The 19,748-nt window shown below is 37.9% G+C and overlaps 1 protein-coding gene across 33 annotated transcripts in view, besides 2 other annotated features; it reads left to right on the top strand.

Moving 5' to 3' along the window:
* The window catches only part of CENPK (centromere protein K), a 67,545-nt gene that overhangs the window by 2,766 nt on the left and 45,031 nt on the right, over positions 1 to 19,748 (top strand). For 13 of the 33 annotated variants that reach the window (XR_007058617.1, XR_001742177.2, XR_007058615.1 and 10 more), the window contains 4 exons: positions 5,505 to 5,606; positions 7,854 to 7,910; positions 8,767 to 8,839; positions 17,555 to 17,601. Coding sequence is in view for 26 of the 33 variants with exons in the window: in XM_017009696.3 (XP_016865185.1) it covers positions 5,505 to 5,606; positions 7,854 to 7,910; positions 8,767 to 8,839; positions 17,555 to 17,601 (279 nt within the window). In the remaining 7 variants the exon portion in view is untranslated. Of the gene's footprint in view, positions 1 to 3,025; positions 3,105 to 5,456; positions 5,607 to 7,853; positions 7,911 to 8,766; positions 8,840 to 9,202; positions 9,298 to 17,554; positions 17,602 to 19,748 lie in introns of those variants that run through there. The other 20 variants (XR_007058616.1, XM_047417485.1, NM_001267038.2 and 17 more) reach the window with 6 other exon arrangements.
* Positions 450 to 949: an enhancer, noted in NCBI's record as "H3K4me1 hESC enhancer chr5:64855281-64855780 (GRCh37/hg19 assembly coordinates)". NCBI's record gives its function as "activates a minimal SCP1, AML or CMV promoter by ChIP-STARR-seq in primed H9 embryonic stem cells {active_cell/tissue: H9 hESC(primed)}" and the evidence as "EXISTENCE:reporter gene assay evidence [ECO:0000049][PMID:30033119]".
* Positions 6,394 to 6,594: a silencer, noted in NCBI's record as "peak5269 fragment used in MPRA reporter construct". NCBI's record gives its function as "represses an SCP1 promoter by STARR-seq MPRAs in K562 erythroleukemia cells {active_cell/tissue: K562}" and the evidence as "EXISTENCE:reporter gene assay evidence [ECO:0000049][PMID:32103011]".

The raw sequence follows: 19,748 nt of genomic DNA, 5'->3' as shown, positions 1-19,748 counted from the left end.
CCCAGCCACAACCCTTTTCCCCCTTCCACTCTTCCTCCAAAGTAATTGGTAACCTGACTTTTTTGGTAATCTTTTTTAAATTTTTTTTAATGGTGAGTTGTTTGGTTTCTTCTTATGAATTTGTAGGCACTTGTTATATATTAAGGAAATTAGGTCTTGGGTTGCCATATATATTACAAGTATTTCTCCTAGGTTTGGGGGTTTTAAATTTTAACTTTGTTGATGAGATGTTTGTCCATGCAGAATTAAAAAAAAAATTTTGGTGTAAAGATTTTACTTAGTTTTGCTTAGAAAGGTGTTTCCTAATCTAAGATTTTAAAAGTTTCTGTGTTTTCATCCTATTTTTTTGTGATTTCTATTTTGGGTTTTTTGAGGGAGTGAGGAATGACATAAAGATTCAGGTATGAATTTAGACTTATTTTTTTCTCCGCAAATACTATAAATGTTAAAAAAAAATGAGGAAGATTTATATGGACCAAAATATACATTTAAAAAACAGTATTATATATAAAATATATATCTATTTGGATTATTTTTTTCTCCTTGATTTGCCTTGTCATCTCTGTCATGTGTCATGTGTCCATATGTATGTGAATATAGAAAGTCAAGAAAGGCTTTGTATTGTGTTCCATTGCTCAATTTGCCTATTTATGTGCCAGTTCTACATTGCCATAATAGTGTAGGGTATGTCCTCCCATCTTATTTTTCATGAGGATCTTAGGCTAGTTTTGGCCCTTTGTGCTTCCATGTAAATTTTTTTTTTTTTTTTTTTCTGAGACGGAGTCTCGCTCTGTCGCCCAGGCTGGAGTGCAGTGGCGGGATCTCGGCTCACTGCAAGCTCCGCCTCCCGGGTTCACGCCATTCTCCTGCCTCAGCCTCCCAAGTAGCTGGGACTACAGGCGCCCGCCACTACGCCCGGCTAATTTTTTGTATTTTTAGTAGAGACGGGGTTTCACCCTTTTAGCCGGGATGGTCTCGATCTCCTGACCTCGTGATCCGCCCGCCTCGGCCTCCCAAAGTGCTGGGATTACAGGCGTGAGCCACCGCGCCCGGCCCTTCCATGTAAATTTTACAATTTGCTTGTCAAGTCCCATAAAGAGAAACAAAAACTTTCAGGATTTTGGTTAAGATTCAGTAGCTCAACTTGGGGGAGAATTAACGTCTTTACAATGTGGGTCTTTCAGTCCATGAATATGAAGTATCTTTCCATTTATTTAGGTCTGCCTTAGAACTTCTCTGTTAATAAGTTATTGATTAAGCAGTATAAAATGCAGAAGTTCCATATGAATAAAGATATTGAGGAGGGGTATTCTGATTTGCGTTTGATGTGGGGTAGACATCCTCATCATTCTTTATTGCACTGTCTACCTCCTTAAAATTGCCCAGTTTTGAATCTTATGCCACCAGACTCTAATCCTCTTCCATTCTTTGCAGGAATCATCTAGCAAGATTGTTTTACTCACCCTCATTCCTTGAAGATTTTTAGCTCCTGGCTCATTGCCCTTTGCAGTACTACTATCATAATTCTTAGTGATTTTAATATCCTTATAGATGATCCAATAACTTGGCCTCTCTTTTTCTTGACCTTCTTTCCCCTAGTGATTATGTTCTCTCTTGTCTTAGCTACTTATTCCTATGGCCATTCTTTCACTTTGTCCCTGTCTGTACCTGTGGTGCTACACCATAGAAGAAAACATACAACCATGCTCTGGTTTTACTTTAAACTCATGATACTAATCTCAGGTGAGCCTGTAATGCTACTACTGAATAATCCTGTAACTTTATCCTCTCCCATTTTTTTATATATCTGTTTTATACATCTCTTTTCCTGTGCTCTTAAACTCGCAGTACTTTCTTCCCATCCTTTCATAGCTGATAACCGTAGTTACCATTTTACGGAGAAAAGAGAAACAATCCACATAGAATTTCTACAAGTTCCTAGCAACACGTCTACTTACCTACCTGCATCTACACTCTTGATATTCTGATGACCCTCCCATTAAAATGGATGAACTGCATGTCCATTTATCTTAAGCCAACACCTCTACTTATGTACTAGATCCCATTCTTTCTTCTCCCCTTTCTCTCTTGTATTAGCAACATTTCCTTCTTTTACTGTACCGTATAAAGATGCTATATTTTCTCCCATCTTTAAAAAAGAAAAAGTCTCTTTTAACCCTATATCTCCCTCCAGCTACTAACTGTATTTCTCTCTTGTGCTTTAAAGAAAAAAAAATGTGTGTGTGTGTGTTTTCTTTTTGTTTGTTTTGTTTGTTTGTTTTTGGTATGGTCTTAACGGTCTTGCTTTGTCACCCAGGGTGGAGTGCAGTTGTGTGATTGTGGCTCACTGCAGCCTCAGTCTCCTGGGTTCACCGGGCTCAAGTGATCCTCTCACCTCAGCTCCTGAATACCTTGGAATACAGGCATGTGCTGCCATGCCTGGCTAGAGAAAACGTTCTTGAAAACGTTTCATATACTTAATATTTTTAATTCCTTGCCTTCCATTCTTTCTTGAATCCACTCCAATCAGATTTTTATTCTTGCCATTCTTCTAAAACTACTCCTATGAAGGTTATCTGTGGCCTTCATTTTTGTATGTTTACTCCAAGAAAATTGTTGTGATAAATTACCCCAGAATGTAGAGGTGTAAAACAACTATTTATTACGCTCATGAGTTTTGTGCATTAGAAATTCAGACAAGACACAGCAGGAGCAGCTTCTCTGTTCCACAGTATCTGGAGCCTTGGCTAGAAGATCAAAGCCTAGGGGCTTAATTGTCAGAAATGATCGTGTGTATGTCTGGGAGTTGATACCAGCGTTTGTCTGGGAACCTCAGTTCCTTTCCTCATGGACTTTATGTTGATCTCTTCCTTTTGTGCTACTTTGGGCTTTCGCATAACATGGTGCCTGGGTTGCAAGGGTGAGTGTTCCAAGACACAGAAAGCCAGAAGTTAGCTATATTGCCTTTTATGACTTAGTCTTGAAAGTCATGTGGTGTCATTTTCATTGTATTCTCTTTATAAAGACAGCCACAAAGTCACACTCAGTTTCAGGGGGAGAGGAAAAAGACTCTGTCTCTTGATGGGGAATGATGAAATATTGCTGTGAGTATTTTTAGAAAAAACAGTTTGCTCCTCTATATTACTAAATAAATTGTCAATTCTCTGTAATTTACTTGACCTGTCTCCAGTGTTTGACAGTTATCATTCCTTCCTTGAATACATTCTTGGATTTCAGGGTATCATGCTCTTGATTTTCCTCTTAACTTACTGAGTGCTCCTTCTCAGACTATTCAGTTGGTTCTTACCTCAATAGCTCCTGGCCTGAAGATCTTCTCATTTCTAGCTGCACACTCTTCCTTTTCTTATTTCACCTATCCTCACAACTGTAAGTACAGTCATGTGTCACTTAACAACGGGGATATGTGTTGAGAAATGCATTGTTAGATGATTTCATCATGTGAGCACAAACCTAGATGGTATAACCTACTACATACCTAGGCTGAATACCGTAGGTAATTGTAACAGAATGGTATTTTTGTATTTAAACATTTCTAAACATAGAAACGGTACAGTAAAAAAAATGGTATGAAAGACAAAAAGTGGAACACCTGTCTAGGGCTTTTACCATGAATGTAGCTTATAGGACTAGAAGTTGCTCTAGATGAGTCAGTGAGTTGTGAGAAGATATGAAGGCCTAGGACATTACTGTACCCTACTGTAGACTTTGTAAATACTGTACACTTAGGCTATACTAAATTTATTTTTTTAATTATTCAATAATAAATTAACCTTAGCTTGCTGTAAGTTTTTTGCTTTATCTTTTTAATTTTTTAACATATCAACTCTTTCATAAAAACAGCTTAAAACATAAACATGTTGTATAACTGTGCAACAATATTTTCTTTCTTTTTTTATTTTCTAATTTAGAGACAGAGTTTGTCTCTGTCACCCAGGCTGAAATGCAGTGGTGTGATCATAGCTTACTATAACCTTGAACTCCTGGACTCAAGCGATCTTCCTGCCCCTGCCTCCTGAGCAGCTTGGGCTACAGGACTGGGCCACCTCACCCAGCTAATTTTTAAAATTTTTTTATAGAGATAGGGGTCTTACTTTGTTGCCAGGCTGTTCTGGAACTCCTGAACTCAAGTGATCCTACGACCTTGGCCTCCCAAAGTGTTGTGATTACAGGTGTGAGTCACTGCACCTGGCATATTTTATGTCTTTTTTTCTAGCTAATTTATTTATTTTTATTTTTTACTTTTTTAATTTCTTTGTTAAGAACGAAGACACAAACACATTAGCCTAGGCCTAAGGCAAGGTCAGGATCATCAAGACATCAGTAGGCAATAGGAATTTTTCAGCTCCATTGGAACCACTGTTATATGTGCAGTCTGTGATTGACCAAAATGTCATTATGTAGTGTGTAAGTCTTATCTGTGTGATGATGGCTGTCAAATTCATATTGCTAGCTCAAAACTTTGCTTTCAACTGCAGACATGTATATCTAATTGCTTAATCAGCAGCTCCAATAATTGACACCTCAAATGTAGCATATCCTAAACTGAGTTTTTAATCAGCACTTCTCCCATGTTTGCCAAATCTGTTTCTTTTACCATCTTTCTCACCTCAGTAACTGGCAACGTAATAATTCACTTCTCTCTGACAGTCCATATACATGCTGTTAAGAAATTCTGTTGGCTCCATCTTGAAAATATATCCAGAATGGGACATTCTGTGCTGCTTCTATCAATATTATCCTGGTCTACATCTTGCTTGGGTCATTGCAGTAGCTTTCTAATTGGTTTTCCTGCTTCTATCCTTACTGCCTGTAGTTAACCAGAGTTGTATTGTTAAAATGTAATTCAAATGATTCATTCCTCTGTTTAAAACTAATTGCTTATCATCTCAAAGTCCTTAAAATAGCCTACCAAACCCACATGATCTCATCCCTATTGTCTCTCTGACCTCATATTCTACTCTGTCTTACTTAATCTGCTGTAATCACACCAGCTCCTTCACTACTGTGGAAACATGGCAGTCATATTCCTGCATCAAGGCCTTTGCACTTGCAGTTCCCTCTGTCTGAACCCTCTGCCCCTCTTCATCCTTGACCTCATTTCTTTATCTTCTTCATGTCTTCTTACTCAGTTGTCAATTTCTCAGTAACCTTATATGACCACCTTATTTAAAATTATATTGTCCTTGCCCTAGCATTTCCTATGTTTCTTCCTTGTCTTTTCTCCATGGCACTTATAAATCATTTGATATACTACAGTATATATATGTTTTATTTTTTATTTTATTGTCTGTTTTCCTTACTTAGAATAAGGTTCACGGTAGGAGGGATTTTTGTCTATTTTGTTCATTGCTATATTCTTACCCCCTAGATGAGTATCTGGCAGGTAATAAGTGTTCAACCAATACTGCTGAATGAATAAATATTTTTTGCTTTAGTTTTTCTTATAAGGCTAAAAATTCACAAAGCATATATCAATGAATCAGGAGGATCTAGATCCGGATAGTACTACAGATGTGGGAGATGTTACAAATACTGAAGAAGAACTTATTAGAGAATGTGAAGAAATGTGGAAAGATATGGAAGAAGTAAGTTTCAAAAGATAGAAGTGATAGTTAATATAAGATTTAAATCAACTTCAATAATAAATAGACTCAGGAAAGAAATGATTGTGCTAGTTTCCAAAAGCCATTATGTATGATAAATATTTATATAGCTTTTAGACCTATCAGCATTCATTCAAGAAACTTTACACTAGATGAGCTATAGAAAGAAAAATTTTGACAATCCATGCTCCCAAGGAGATTACAATCTTATGGAAACAACAGCCATTATATTATGTTGTAATACAATATTAGATGTATTGTAGAAGTACAAAGACTATACTTAGCAGGAGTGCTAAACCCGGTGAAGGGGTCAAGGATAGCTTTCTGAAAGAGGTAATTACTGGGCCACGCCTGTAATCCCAGCATTTTGGGAGGCCGAGGCTGGGGGATCATGAGGTCAAGAGATTGAGACCATCCTGGCCGACATGGTGAAACCCCATCTCTACTAAAAATACACAAATTAGCTGGGCACGGTGGTGTGCACCTTTAGTCTCAGCTACTCGGGTGGCTAAGACAGGCTGAGACAGGAGAATTGCTTGAACCCAGGAGGCGGATGTTGCAGTGAGCCGAGATAGTGCCACTGCACTCCAGCCTGGTGACAGCAGAGTGAGACTCCGTCTCAAAAAAAAAAAAAAATAATTACTGGTTTCATTTCTAAAGGATAATTAGGAGTTAGCCTGTAAAAGTAGAAGAGGTATACAAAGCATAAAGAAGAAAATGTGTAAAAACAGAGAGTTGACAGAACATTAAATAGAATGTTATGGATAATGTAAATTAGGAGAAGGACTTCTGGGGTAAGACTGGAGAAGTAATCAGGGACCAGAACATAAAGGATTTTGTTGAGTGTGTACTATGGGGAGCCATTAAAAGATTTTAAGTATGGAAGTGACATGATCAGATATGCGGTTTGGGAAAATTACTCTGGTGTTTTTGAAGAAAATAGAATGCAGAAGAGTAAGACTACAGATAGAAAGCATTTAGGAAGCTCTAGTAATAGTCCTGGTAAAAAGTAAGGAAGCCCTAAGTATTGCCACTGCAAATAGAAGAGTGGATTCAAAGATAAGTAGGTAGGATTAGAAGTTAATTTATGTGCAATGGGAGGGAAATATGGTTAGTTTCAGGTTCCTGGTTTGGGCCGTTGGGTGGTTGATGGGATTATTTCCCCAAATAGAGAATATAGAAGTGGGAAGAACACATAATTATGAGTGAAAACATTAATTAATTTAGAAAATGTTGTTTGAAATATATGTACTTTTTCTAAGTTGGTGAGATAGAACTGCCTTTGGTACACTAGAGTATGTTGGTGAAAATTTGTTCTACTTAAGGCAAGCTTGTCCAACCTGCGGCCCAGGATGGCTTTGAATGCAGCACGACACAAACTTTCTTAAAGCATTATGGATTTCGATTTCTTTTTTTTTTTTGGCTGATCAGCTATTGTTAATGTATTTTATGTGTGGCCCAAGATAATTCTTCTTCTTCCAGTGTAGTTCAGGGAAGCCAAAAGATAGGGCACAGATATTTTTAGCATCCTATTCTTCCCAGTAAAGTTTCAGAACTGGTCAAATTAGTGAGGTTTTTCTCTTTTCTTACAATTATTTTTAACATAAATACTTGGTACTTTATATTATTAATGTATTTTCAGGATAATTTTTATAATCCCCCCACCTTTTTATTTTTTGCTTCAGGTATTTTTTCAGTATAGAAGTTTGGATTTTAAAATGACTTAAAATTTGTATAGAGAAATGCTGCATTACAAATGAGCAGAAATAGAATTTACTCGTATTTTTATCTCATATAATCATCATGAACAGTTTTGGACTTTTTTAATGGCACAGAAACAATGTCTCCTGAAGGCTTTATTTATTTTCTTAGGATTTCTTAGGATCTGAACTATCTTCTTACTTGTTATTTTTCTATAGTGCTTTCCCTCTTATTTTTTTATCTCCCACTTTCCAATTATCTGACTTATAATTCATTCTAGCTATTAGTTTTTGGGTTTTTTTTTTTCCTCTTCATTCTAGTGTCTCTTTTTACTTGTGATGTATTCACCTTGGGACTTGTTTGGCTGCCTTAATCGTCTTACATAGTGAGGAATTTCAATAAACTCTTCTCCATCAGATGTTTGTGCTTTAGAAGAGTGTTATATTGGCCTGGTAGAAAAGGAGAGGGGAAGGGAATTTTCTGTGAATTATCGTGTGTGACTTGCCTTTTTTTACTTTTTAAATCAAGTGTCAGAATAAATTATCACTTATTGGAACTGAAACACTCACCGATTCAAATGCTCAGGTATGAATCTTTTTCTTCCTAAAAAATACAAGGTAAGTGGAATTAATTGTATTTTGGAAAATAAATATGTGTGTCTGTATTTTTCTCAAGTTTAATACCTTTGTTAATACCTGTATGCTTAATCATTTGGAAAACTTCTTACTCTTCCTGCTTTAAGAATTGAAAGAATATTCTAAAAACTTTCTAGAACAAGCTATTATAAATAAGAGAGTATTTTCTTTATTATTTGTCTTTTAGCAACTATACATATATTTAACAACTGAGTAAATTGCTTGTTAGTTGCTATTACGCTGCCTTGTTAAAATTAGAACAAAGACCAGCCTGGCCTACATGGCAAAACCCCGTCGCTACCAAAGTACAAAAAAATTAGCTGGTCTTGGTGATGTGGTCATATGATCCCAGCTACTCAGGAGGCTGAGGCGTGAGAATCACTTGAACCCAGTAGATGGAGGCCGCAGTGAGCTGAGATTGTGCCATTATACTCCAGCCTGGGCGAAAGAGTAAGACTGTCTCAAAAAAAAAAAAAAAAAAATAGAACAAAGGCGGCTAACTTTGTGTTAGGTATAATAGTCACAGATATTTTACTATCTGTGTCGAATCTGAATTGATTTTACTCTTGGCCTAAAAAAAGGACTGACATTCATTATAATAATCAGAATTATGGAATTGCTGTAGGAATAGATCAGTGGATCAGTGAAACAGATTAAGAATTAAAATAAAGTTGCCTCTGGAGCAGCGTGAGAGTTAGGGATGCCACCCCCCTGCAAAGTTTTAAAATATTAAGAATGTTTATATTTTCATCTATGAATAGGTATGAATAGTCCACAGAAAATGACTTTGTTTTCTTCTTTTGTAGCTATCATTGTTAATTATGCAAGTAAAATGTTTAACCGCTGAACTCAGTCAATGGCAGAAAAAAACACCTGAAAGTAAGATTCTTATTTTAAATTTGAATTTTTTGTAAACCTATTAATAGCAAATTAATTTAATAATTGTAGGAAAAATTACAAGATCCATTTGGCCTTTTTGAAATTGCCCAAATTTCATTGATACCGAGAAGCCACTTTTTTTCTGTGAATTATTTTGTACTTCTTTTATTATTATTGATAAACATATCTTACATTAGATTATAATAAGCTTGATTATGGAGACGTTATTATAGCTATTATGTTATCCTCATAGACACTGCCTTATGCTCGCTAGAAATGGTAAATTGTTCCTTTTTTTTTTTTTTTTTTTTTTTGAGACAGGGTCTCATCGTGTTGTCCAGGCTGGAGTACAGTGGCACAATCATGGCTCATTGCAGCCCCGATCTCCCGGGTTCAAGTGATCCTCCTACCTCAGCCTCCTGAGTAGCTAGGACTACAAGTGTGTGCCACCATGCTTGGTTAGTGGTTGGTTTTTGTATTTTTTTGTAGAGACGGGGTTTCACCATGTTACCCAGGCTGGTCTTGAACTCCTGGGCTCAAGGGATCCTCCTGCCTTGGCCTCTCAAAGTGCCTGGATTACTGGCGTGCCAGTGATTTGTTTCTTAATGAATGCAATTTACCTAGTGGAAGAGAAAAGTTATAATTTATTTTAGATACTTACACAAAAGGGACACATAGTTTGTATGTCTTCTGTCTTGTCCAGCTGGTGCCAACTATGTTTTTGTCTTCAGTTAGGAAGTAGAAGACAGCATAAAAATTTATAATTGTGATACTCCACTAGTACATCTTTTTTTTTTAAATGTGAGAGCTTAAGTTTCTCTATGCAATATACATCTATACAGGCACATCTCATTTTATTGTGCTTCACTTTATTGCACTTTGCAGACACTCTATGTTTAACAAATTCAGTTTGTGGCGAGCCTGTGTCACATTTTGGTAATCTCACAGTATTTTAGACTTTTAAGTCATTATTACATCTGGTTGGGGGATCTGTGATCAGTGGTCTTTGATCTTACTATTTTAATTGTTTTGAGGAACCACAAGCTGCACCTGTGTAAGACAGTAAATTTAACCAATAAATGTTGTGTGTATTCTGACTGCTCTGCTGACCAGTTGTTCCCCCATCTCTCTCCCTCTCCTTGGCCCTCCCTTTTCCTTAAAACACAAGAATATTGAATTTAGGCCAATTAATAACCCTCCAATTGTTTCTAAGTTTTTAAGTGAAAAGAAGAGTTGCACATCGATAACTTTAAATTAAAAGCTAGAAATGATTAAGTTTCATGAGGAAGGCATGTCAGAAGCCAAGATAGGCCAAAAGCTAGGCCTCCGGCACCAGTTAGCCAAGTTGTGAATGGAAAGGAAAATTTTTTTTTTTTTTTTTTTTTTTTTGAGATGGAGTCTTGCTCTGTTGCACTGCCCTCAGGCTGGAGTGCAGTGGTGTGATCTCGGCTCAGTGCAGTCTCTGCCTCCTGGGTTCAAGTGATTCTCCTATGTCAGCATCCCAAGTAGCTGGGATTGCAGGTGCATGCTACCACACCCAGCTAATTTTTGTATTTTTTTATTAGAGACAGGTTTCACCATGTTGGCCAGGATGGTCTTGATCTCCTAACCTCGTGGTCCACCTGCTTCAGTCTCCCAAAGTGCAGGAAAAATTTTTAAAGGAAATTAAAGATGTTGCTCTAGTGAACACACAAATTATGAGAAAACAGAATAGCCTTATTGCTGTTATAGAGAAAGTTTTACTAGTCTACTTAGATGATCAAACCAGCCATCATTCCCTAAGCCAAAGCGTAATCCACAACAAAGCCCTAGCTCTTTTCAATTCTACAAAGGCTGAGAGAGATGAGGAAGCTGCAGAAGAAAAGTGTGAAGCTAGCAGAGGTTGGTTCATGAGGTTTAAGGAAAGAAGCCATCTCCATAACATAAAAATGCAAGGGGAAGCAGCAAGTACTGAGGCAGAAGCGTCAACAAGTTATCCAGAAGATCTAGCTAAGATACTTGAAGGTGGCTATGATAAACAGCAAATTTTCAATGTAGACAGAACAGCCCTCTATTGGAAGAAGATGCCATCTAGGACTCTTATAGTTAGAGAGAAGTTGATGCCTGGCTCCAAAGCTTCAAAAGGACAGGTTGACTCTCTTGATAAGGACTAGTGCAGCTGGTGACTCTGAGTTAAAACCAACACTCATTTATCATTCCAGCAATCCTAGGGCCCTTAAGAATTATACCAAATCTACTCTGCCTGTGCATTGTAAATGGAACAGTAAAGCCTGGATGACAGTACACCTGTTTATAGCATGGTTTACTGAATAGTTTAAGCCCACTGTTGAGACCTACCACTCAGGAAAAAAAAAAAGATTCCTTTCAAAATATTACTGCTCCCCATCTCTTCACTCAACAGCTCTGATGGTGATGTACAAGGAATTTAATGTTCTCATGTCTGTTGATGCAACATCTGTTCTGCCGCCCAGGGACCAAGAAGCCACCTCAACTGAAGTCTTATTATTTAAGAAATACACTTCGTAAGGCTATAGCTGTCATAAGTCCTCTGATGGTCTGGGCCAAAGTACATTGAAACCTTCTGGAAAGTATCCCCCATTCTAGATGCCATTAAGAACATGTGTGATTTATGGAAGGAGGTCAAAATAACAACATTAACAGGAGTGTGCAAGAGGTTGGTTCTAACCCTCATGGATGACTCTGAGGGGTTCAAGTAACTACAAATGTGGTAGAAGTATCTAACTAGAATTAGAAGTGGAGTCTGAAAATGTGGCTGAATGACTGCAATCTCATGATAAAACTTGAACAGATGAGGAGTTGCTTCCCATGGATGAGCAAAAAAGTGGTTTCTTGAGATGGAATCTACTCCCAGTGAAGATGCTTTGAACACGGTTGAAATGACAACAAAAGATTTAGAATATTACATAAACTTTGTTGGTAAGGCAGCGTCAGGGTTTGAGAGGAGTGACTAATTTTGAAAGAAGTTCTGCTGTGGGTAAAATGCTATCAAACAGCATCTCATGCCACCGAGAAATGTTTTTGTGAAACGAAGAGTCAATCGGTGTGGCAAACTTCATTGCTGTCTTATTTTAAGAAACGGCCACAGCCACCCCAACCTTCAGTAGCCACTAACCTGATCAGTCATCAGCCATTAACACTGAGATAAGGCCTTCCACCAGCAAAACATTACAACTCACCGAAGGCTCAGATTAGGCATCTCAGTTAGCAATTTTTAGCAATAAGGTTTTTTTTAAAATAAGGTATGTACATTTTTAGAAATAATGCTAATACATAATTTAATAGACTACAGTATAATGTAAACAACTTTTATATGCACTGGGAAAACAAAAAATTTGTGTGACTTGTTTTGTTGTGATATTTGCTTTAGTGTGGTGGTCTAGAACCAAACTTGGACTATCTCCAAAGTATCCCTGCATATGATATTCTATTTGGATTGTACCCTCTTTTTCTGTATGTCTTCCTGCTTCTTTCTTCTCCCGCTCTGTTTTCTTTCCTTTAATTGTTCTCCACCCCATGCTTCCCTTCTTAGTCTTCTTTGTAGGCTTATCATTTCTCTTTCCCAATTATTGAAATTCCCCAGGCTGGGCGCTGTGGCTCATGCCTGTAATCCCAGCACTTTGGGAGACCGAGGCGGGTGGATCATGAGGTCAGGAGATCGAGACCATCCTGGCTAACACGGTGAAACCCCATCTCTACTAAAAATATAAAAAATTTGCCAGGTGTTGTGGTGGGCGCCTGCAGTCCCAGCTACTTGGGATGCTGAGGCAGGAGAATGGCATGAACCAAGGAGGCAGGGCTTGCTGTGAGCCGAGATCATGCCACTGCACTCCTGCCTGGGCAACAGGGCGAGACTCCATTTCAAAAAAAAAAAGAAATTCCCCAAGGAGCAATCTTCAGCTGTTTTCTCCTCATTCTCTTCCTATACAATTTTATCCATATTCTTGCTTTAATGACTGTCTTCATGCCAATGTCAGCCATTTTTCCACATCGTTGTTACTACCTGTTAGTCATTAATTTGAGCATTTCTAATAGGTGTGTAGTATTACAATTGTGATTTTAATTTGTCTTCAACCGTATGTCTTATTGCCTTTTTAGTAGTATATTTAGCATCTCAAAAACTGCTCATACTCAAAATTTTTTTTTTTTTTTTTTGAGACAGTCTTACTCTGTCGCCCAGGCTGGAGTGCAGTGGTGCAATCTCGGCTCACTGCAAGCTCTGTCTTCCAGGTTCAAGCAGTTCTTGTGCCTCAGTCTCCCGAGTAGCTGGGATTACAGGTGCCTGCCATCATGCCTGGCTAATTTTTGTATTTGTAGTAGAGACGGGGTTTTGCCATGTTGGCCAGGCTGATCTCAAACTCTTGACCTCAGGTGATCCTCCTGCGTCAGCCTCCCAAAGTTTTGGGATTACAGGTATGAGCCACCACGCCCAGCCTCAAATATTAAAATGTTCAAGTTCTCCAGAGGACCCTATAAGCTATACCAGCATTATATCTTCTTCTCCTGTTTTTATGTGTTATATCTGTAATAATAACTTCCATATGTTCATATTCTCCAGAGGACACTATATACTATACCAGCATTATATCTTCTTCTGTTTTTATGTGTTATATCTATAATAATAACTTCCATATTAGTATACTAGAGCTATCATAACAAACTACTATGGACTAGGTGGCTTAAACAACAGAAATTAATTTTCTCACAATTCTGGAAGATACAAGTTAAAGATCAAGGTGTCAATAACGTTGGTTTCTTCTGAGGCCTCTCCCCTTGGCTTGCAGATGTCCATCTTCTTCCTGTGTCTTCACATGGTCTTCCTTCTGTGTCCTAATCGCCTACTCTTATTAGGACACCAGTCTTATTGGATTAGGGTCAACTCTAATAACCTAATTTTAACTTAATTATCTCTTGAAATACCCAATTCCAAATACAGTCATATTCAAAGGTATTGGGGATTAGGATTTCAACATAGGAATTTGGGGGTGGGGACACATCAACCAATAACAATTTACAAATCTATATATTTAAAGCAGACTTCTCTGCAATATCAAACTCAAGTATCTTTGTACCTCCTAGGCACCTTTTCCAAAATATTTCATAGACACCTCAGATTCATGAACTGACCTTTTCTGTTTCCTCACTCATTGAATGGAGCATATTTGATCAGCTCCCAATTTAAGAGTCCTCCTAGATTCTTTTTCATTTTGCACATACAGCATATTTGTTAAAATTAGAACAGCCGGGTGTGGTGGCTCACGTCTGTAATCCCAGCACTTTGGGAGGCCAGGGCTGGTGGATCACCTGAGCGGGGGGGCAGGGGAGAATAGAACAAAAACATTAGAACTAGAACATATAACTAGTTACTAAATATCGAGTCCTACTGTCACAGATTTACTTCGGGTTTTCATCACCAGTCCATTAGATTATTATAACAGACTTTTTAATCTCTTGGCCTCAATGGGTTTCCCCCACCCTGGCAATGATAGAAGTTTTCAAACTTAAAGAAAAGTTAAAAAATACATATATAGAGAGTTAACTGTAGTAAACTCAGAGACCAGATTCTACAGTTATCAACATTTTCTCAATCTTGTTTTAGGCTTTTTTGGAGTGGCTTTATATAACATACATTTATTATCTCACAATTTCTGTAGTTCAGGGGTCTGAGGACATTTATTATTTCCCAGTTTCTGCAGATAGGAGTCTGGACACAGCTTAACTGGGTCGTCTGCTTAGGGATTTCATGGCTGCAATGATAGATTCTCCTCAAAGGCTTGAGGAGGGATCCATCTCCAAGCTTACTGAAGTTGTTGGCAGAATTTATTTCCTTGTGACTGTAGGATTTATGGTAGCTTTAGTCCATGTTTTTGTTCTTTCTATTGTTCTTCCTTCCTGATCTTCTAAAATTCCTTTTATTGTTTCTGTTTCAAGAACTTCCTTGAGCCGTTCTTTTAGAGTTGGTCTGCTGGTGACAAATTGTCGTAGTTTTTCTTTATCTGAGAATTTCTTGATTTCTCTTTCATTCCTGAAGGATATTTTCACTGGATGTGCAATTCAGGGTTGTTTTCTTTTAGCACTTAAAAATGTGCCACTTACCTCTGCCTCCCTTGGTACTGATGAGAAATGTGCTGTCATTCTGATCGGTTTTGCTTTATAGAGAAGGCGTGTGTGTGTGTGTGTGTGTGTGTGTGTGTGTGTGTGTGTGTGTGTGTGTGTGTGTGCGCGCTTTGAGGACTTTTTCTTTGTCTTCAGCCTTTAGAAGAATAATTATGTTGTACCTTAACCTGGATTTCTTTGGCTTTATCTTACTTAGGAGTCACTCAGATTCCTGAATGTGTGGATTTATGTCTTTTGCAGAATTTGAGAACTTTTTAGCTATCATTTGATGTATTTTTTCAGCAACTCCCCCCACCTTTCTCCTTTCCTGGAATTCCGATAACATGAATGTTAGACCTTTTGTTACGGTTACCCAAGTCCCTCAGGTTTTGTTTAGTTTAAAGAAAATTTTTTAATTGTGGTAAAATATAAAATTTACAATTTTAACCATTTTTAAGTGTATAGTTCACAGTAGTGTTAAGTACATTCACATTTTTATGCAGTGTATCTTCAGAACTTTTTCATCTTGCAAATCTGAAACTCTATACACATTAAACAACAACTCTCCTTTTCCATCATCCCCCAGCCCTGGCAACCTCAATTCTACTTTCTATTAATTTGATTAGTTTAGATACCTCATATAATGGAATCATATAGTATTTGTGTTTTTGTGGGTGGCTTATTTTAGTTAGTGTAATGTCCTCAAAGTTCTTCCATGTTGTAGCACGTTAGAATTTCCTTCCTTTTTTAAGGCTGAATAGTATTTCATTGTATGTATATACCACAGTTTGCTTATCCATTCATCTGTCAACGGAAACTTCGGTTGCTTCATAATTTCATTACTGTGAATGTGAGTGCTGCCATGAACATGGATGTGCAGTTCTCTTTGAGGCCCTGCGTTCAATTCTTTTGGATGTCTACCAGAAATAGTGGATCATATGATAGTTCTATTTTAAGTTTTTTGAGGAACCACCTATACTATTTTCCATAATGGTCACACCATATTTCAATCCCACCGACAGTGCACATGGTTTCAGTTTCTCAACATCCTTGTTAACACTTGTTACTTTCTGTTTTTTTGATAGTAGCTGTCTGCTGTGGCCTAAATATATCCCCCAAAATTCATGTTAAAACTTAATCACCATTATGATAGTGTTAAAAAGTGAGGTCTTTAGGATGTGATTAGTGAGCTTCTTATAGAGGTTGAAGGTAGTATCTAGTCTTTTTTTCCCCTTTTGCCTTCCACTATGTGAGGACACAGCAAGAAGACACCATCTTGGAAGCAGAGAGCAAACCCTTCCAAGGCACTGAATATTCTAATACAAACCTATCTATGAAGCACATGTAGAAAGTTCTTCCCTGTTAGAAGGCTTTCTAGAATAGCAGATACCTTTGAAAGTTTTCAGTAGCCTACTATTTGAGAAGTTTCAAATAGCTCTTCATTAGTAAAGGAAAATTTCTAGCATAAGGATTGAACGCATTAAAATTTGCTATACAAAATTACACATTTGTTTCTACTCATCAGGCTGGCAAAAATTTTAGAAGAGTTTGTAATATTTCTTGCTGTTTTTTCTTCATAGCTCATGGAAATGTCTTTAGAAAGGAAGCTGACATTCTCTATTCAGATTCAAAGTACACATTTCATTCTCTGAAATTTCATTTCTGAGAATCTGTTCTATAGAAATGAGAGCACCAGTACATAAAAACGTGTATAAAAGTCTGCTTACTGCATCCTTGTTTGTTATGACTAGAAACTAGACACAAAGTTAATCTAAAAGTGTTCAATCAAGAGGGCAATCACTCAGTATATTATGGTATATTCATTTTGGAATATCATGCAGCCATTAAAAGTTATGAATTAGACCTATATAGGTCTAGGTTTCCCTGGGGGTTTTATTGAGTGAAAGTAAGATGAATATAATATGTGTGATATGACCCCATTCTTGTAAAACCAATGATGATAAAAATAACCCTTTTAAGTGTATGTAAATGTATGTTACATATGTGTACATAGGATATATGACTACAGGGAAAGTATTTGAGGAACACACTATAGATTATTAGCTTCCCTTTTGAGGGTTTGAAGAACAAAAGAAGAAAAGAAAAAGGCACTAAACAGTACATAAATAGGATCAAATTTATCTAAAATTATATATAGTTGGCTATATGTGCAAAGATGTTAAAAATAAATAAAATGAAAACTGCACACATTTCGTAAAAAGTTGTGTATTGTCAAGGCAGGTGGATCACTTGAGGTCAGGAGTTCAAGACTGGCTTGGCCAACATGATGAAATCCCATCTCTACTAAAAACACAAAAATTAGCCAGGCATGTTGGTGGATGCCTGTAATCCCAGCTACTCAGGAGGCTGAAGCACGAGAATTGTTTGAACCAGGGAGGTGGAGGTTGCAGTGAGCCAAATAGCGCCATTGCACTGCAGCCTGGGTGACAAGAGGGAAACTCTGCCTTGGAGGGGAGAAAAAGTTGTATATTATATAAATGGAGATGGAAAGAAGTATCTTAGAAAACCGCAAAATTAAATTCTTGATTTTTGAGAATTAACTAAATATATGTGTAACTTTGTTTTGTTTTGTTTTTGTAGCAATTCCCTTGACTGAAGACGTTCTCATAACATTAGGAAAAGAAGAGGTAAGCCACTCAATGAATTTGTAGTGACCCCAAATAATTTCTAACTAGATCTATTTTAGATAAGTTCATGGCATAAGAAATAGGATAAAACCACTCTAAAACCATATTAAATTTTCTGCTTTTATTTATGTTTTATTGAACATAATATTTGATTTTTTTTTTTTGGAAACGGAGTCTCGCTCTGTTGCCCAGTCTGGAATGCAGTGGCACAATCCTGGCTCACTGTAACCTCTGCCTCCCAGGGTCAGGTGAGTCTCCTGCCTCAGCCTCCCGAGTAGCTAGGATTACAGGCATGCACCACCATGCCCGGCTAATTTTTGTATTTTTAGTAGAGACGGGATTTCAGTATGCTAGCCAGGCTGGTCTTGAACTCCTGACTTCGTGATCTGCCCGCCTCAGTCTCCCAAAGTGCTGGGATTACAGGCGTAAGCCACCACACCTGGCCTAAAGATTTGAATTTTGAACTCGGTTTTTGCATCAGAACTATTACTGAAGTTAGTGGTTATATGTAAACCTTAATCTCATATCTAGTTTTTAGTTAAACTTCACAATAAAAGCAAAATATTAAACATCGCTTAATGACCCCATACATACATCTCTCCTTCTGCTGTGGACTAAATATTTGTGTCTCCCAAAATCCATACGTTGAAATCTATTCCCCAGTGTGATGATATTAGGAGGTGAGACCTTTGGGAGGTGATTAGGTGCTGAGTGTAGGGCCTTCATAAATGAAATTAATGCCCTTATAAACGTCTGAAGAGACCAGTGTCCTCCCCTTCCATCTTGTGAGGACACAACTAGAAGGTACTGTCTGTGAAGAGGTGAGCCCTCAGTAGACATTGAATCTTGGACTTCCTAGCTGCCAGAATTGTGAGAAATAAATTTTTATAAGATCTCCAGTCTGTAGTATTTTGTTATAGGAGACTGAATGGACTATGACAGAAAGTTGGCACTGAGAAGTGGAGGTGGTACTATATAACAAATACCAAAAAATTCTGAAGCACCTTTGAAACTGGGTGATCAGTAGTAGAAGGAAGAATTTTGAAATGAGTGCAAAGGCCTACATTGCTGTGAGCAGACCTTTAAAGGCGATTCTGGTGGGAACTGAGGTTATAAGAGAGCTGTAGAGAAAGCCTCAGTTTTCTTAGATAATACCAGAATAGTCCTGAAAAGAATGTTGGTAGAAATATGCACAGTATTGGCCATTTTGATAGGTCTCACCTGGAAAGAAAGAACATGTGTCTAAGGATAGAGAGGAAAAAAACAAAGTGTTTTTCCTAGTCTCCGTCACCACTCAATACAACGTAGCACCTCTGGTTACCAAAATGTGTGGGGAATTCTCACCAGCAACCAATTCTTTGGCAGATTCTGCAGATGATGATTCTCTCCTACAAACCAGTTGGGTGTCCTCTTAATTCACTTCAGTTCTGACATAATCTACTTGGAGGTAACATCAGATCCCACAGGTTGAGCGCTCAGTCCCACATGCCTGACCCCGGTTTCAGATACCAGTTGCCAGTAATGGATTGTCGCCTGTATTCTGACTGGCTATAAATCAGGGGTTTCCATGATCCCCTCCTCCTCAGGTTTAATTAATTTGCCAGAGCAGCTCACAGAACTGAGAGATAAACTTACTTTCATTTACTCAGGTGTCATAAGAGATATTACAAAGGATACATGGCTGGGCATGGTGGCTCACACCTGTAATCCCAGCACTTTGGGAATCTGAAGAGGATGGATCACTTGAGCCTAAGTGTTCAAGACCAGCCTGGGCAATATGGCAAAAGCCTGTCCCTACAAAAAAAATAAAAAATCTTCTGTGTGTGGTGGTGTGTGTGTGATGGTGTGTGCCTGTAGTCCCAGATACTTGGAAGGCTGAGGTGGGAGGATTGCTTGAGCCTGGGAGGTTGAGGCTGCAGTGAGCCATGATCGCGTCACTGCCTTCCAGCCTGGGCAGCAGAGTGAAACCCTGTCTCAAAAAAAAAAAAAAAAAGGATACAGTTGAACAGCCAAATGGAAAAGATGTGTAGGGCAAGTCATGGTGGAAGGGACATGGAGTTTCCATGCCATCTCTGGACATGGTACTCTCCAGAAACTTGCCTGTGTTCAGCTATCTAGAAGCTCCCCAAACCCAGTTCTTTTGGGGT

Source organism: Homo sapiens, chromosome 5 (assembly GCF_000001405.40).
Source record: "Homo sapiens chromosome 5, GRCh38.p14 Primary Assembly".
Lineage (NCBI taxonomy): Eukaryota > Metazoa > Chordata > Mammalia > Primates > Hominidae > Homo > Homo sapiens.
The sequence above is the reverse complement of the archived record's forward strand: the minus strand, read 5'-3'. Positions and strand labels throughout refer to the sequence as shown.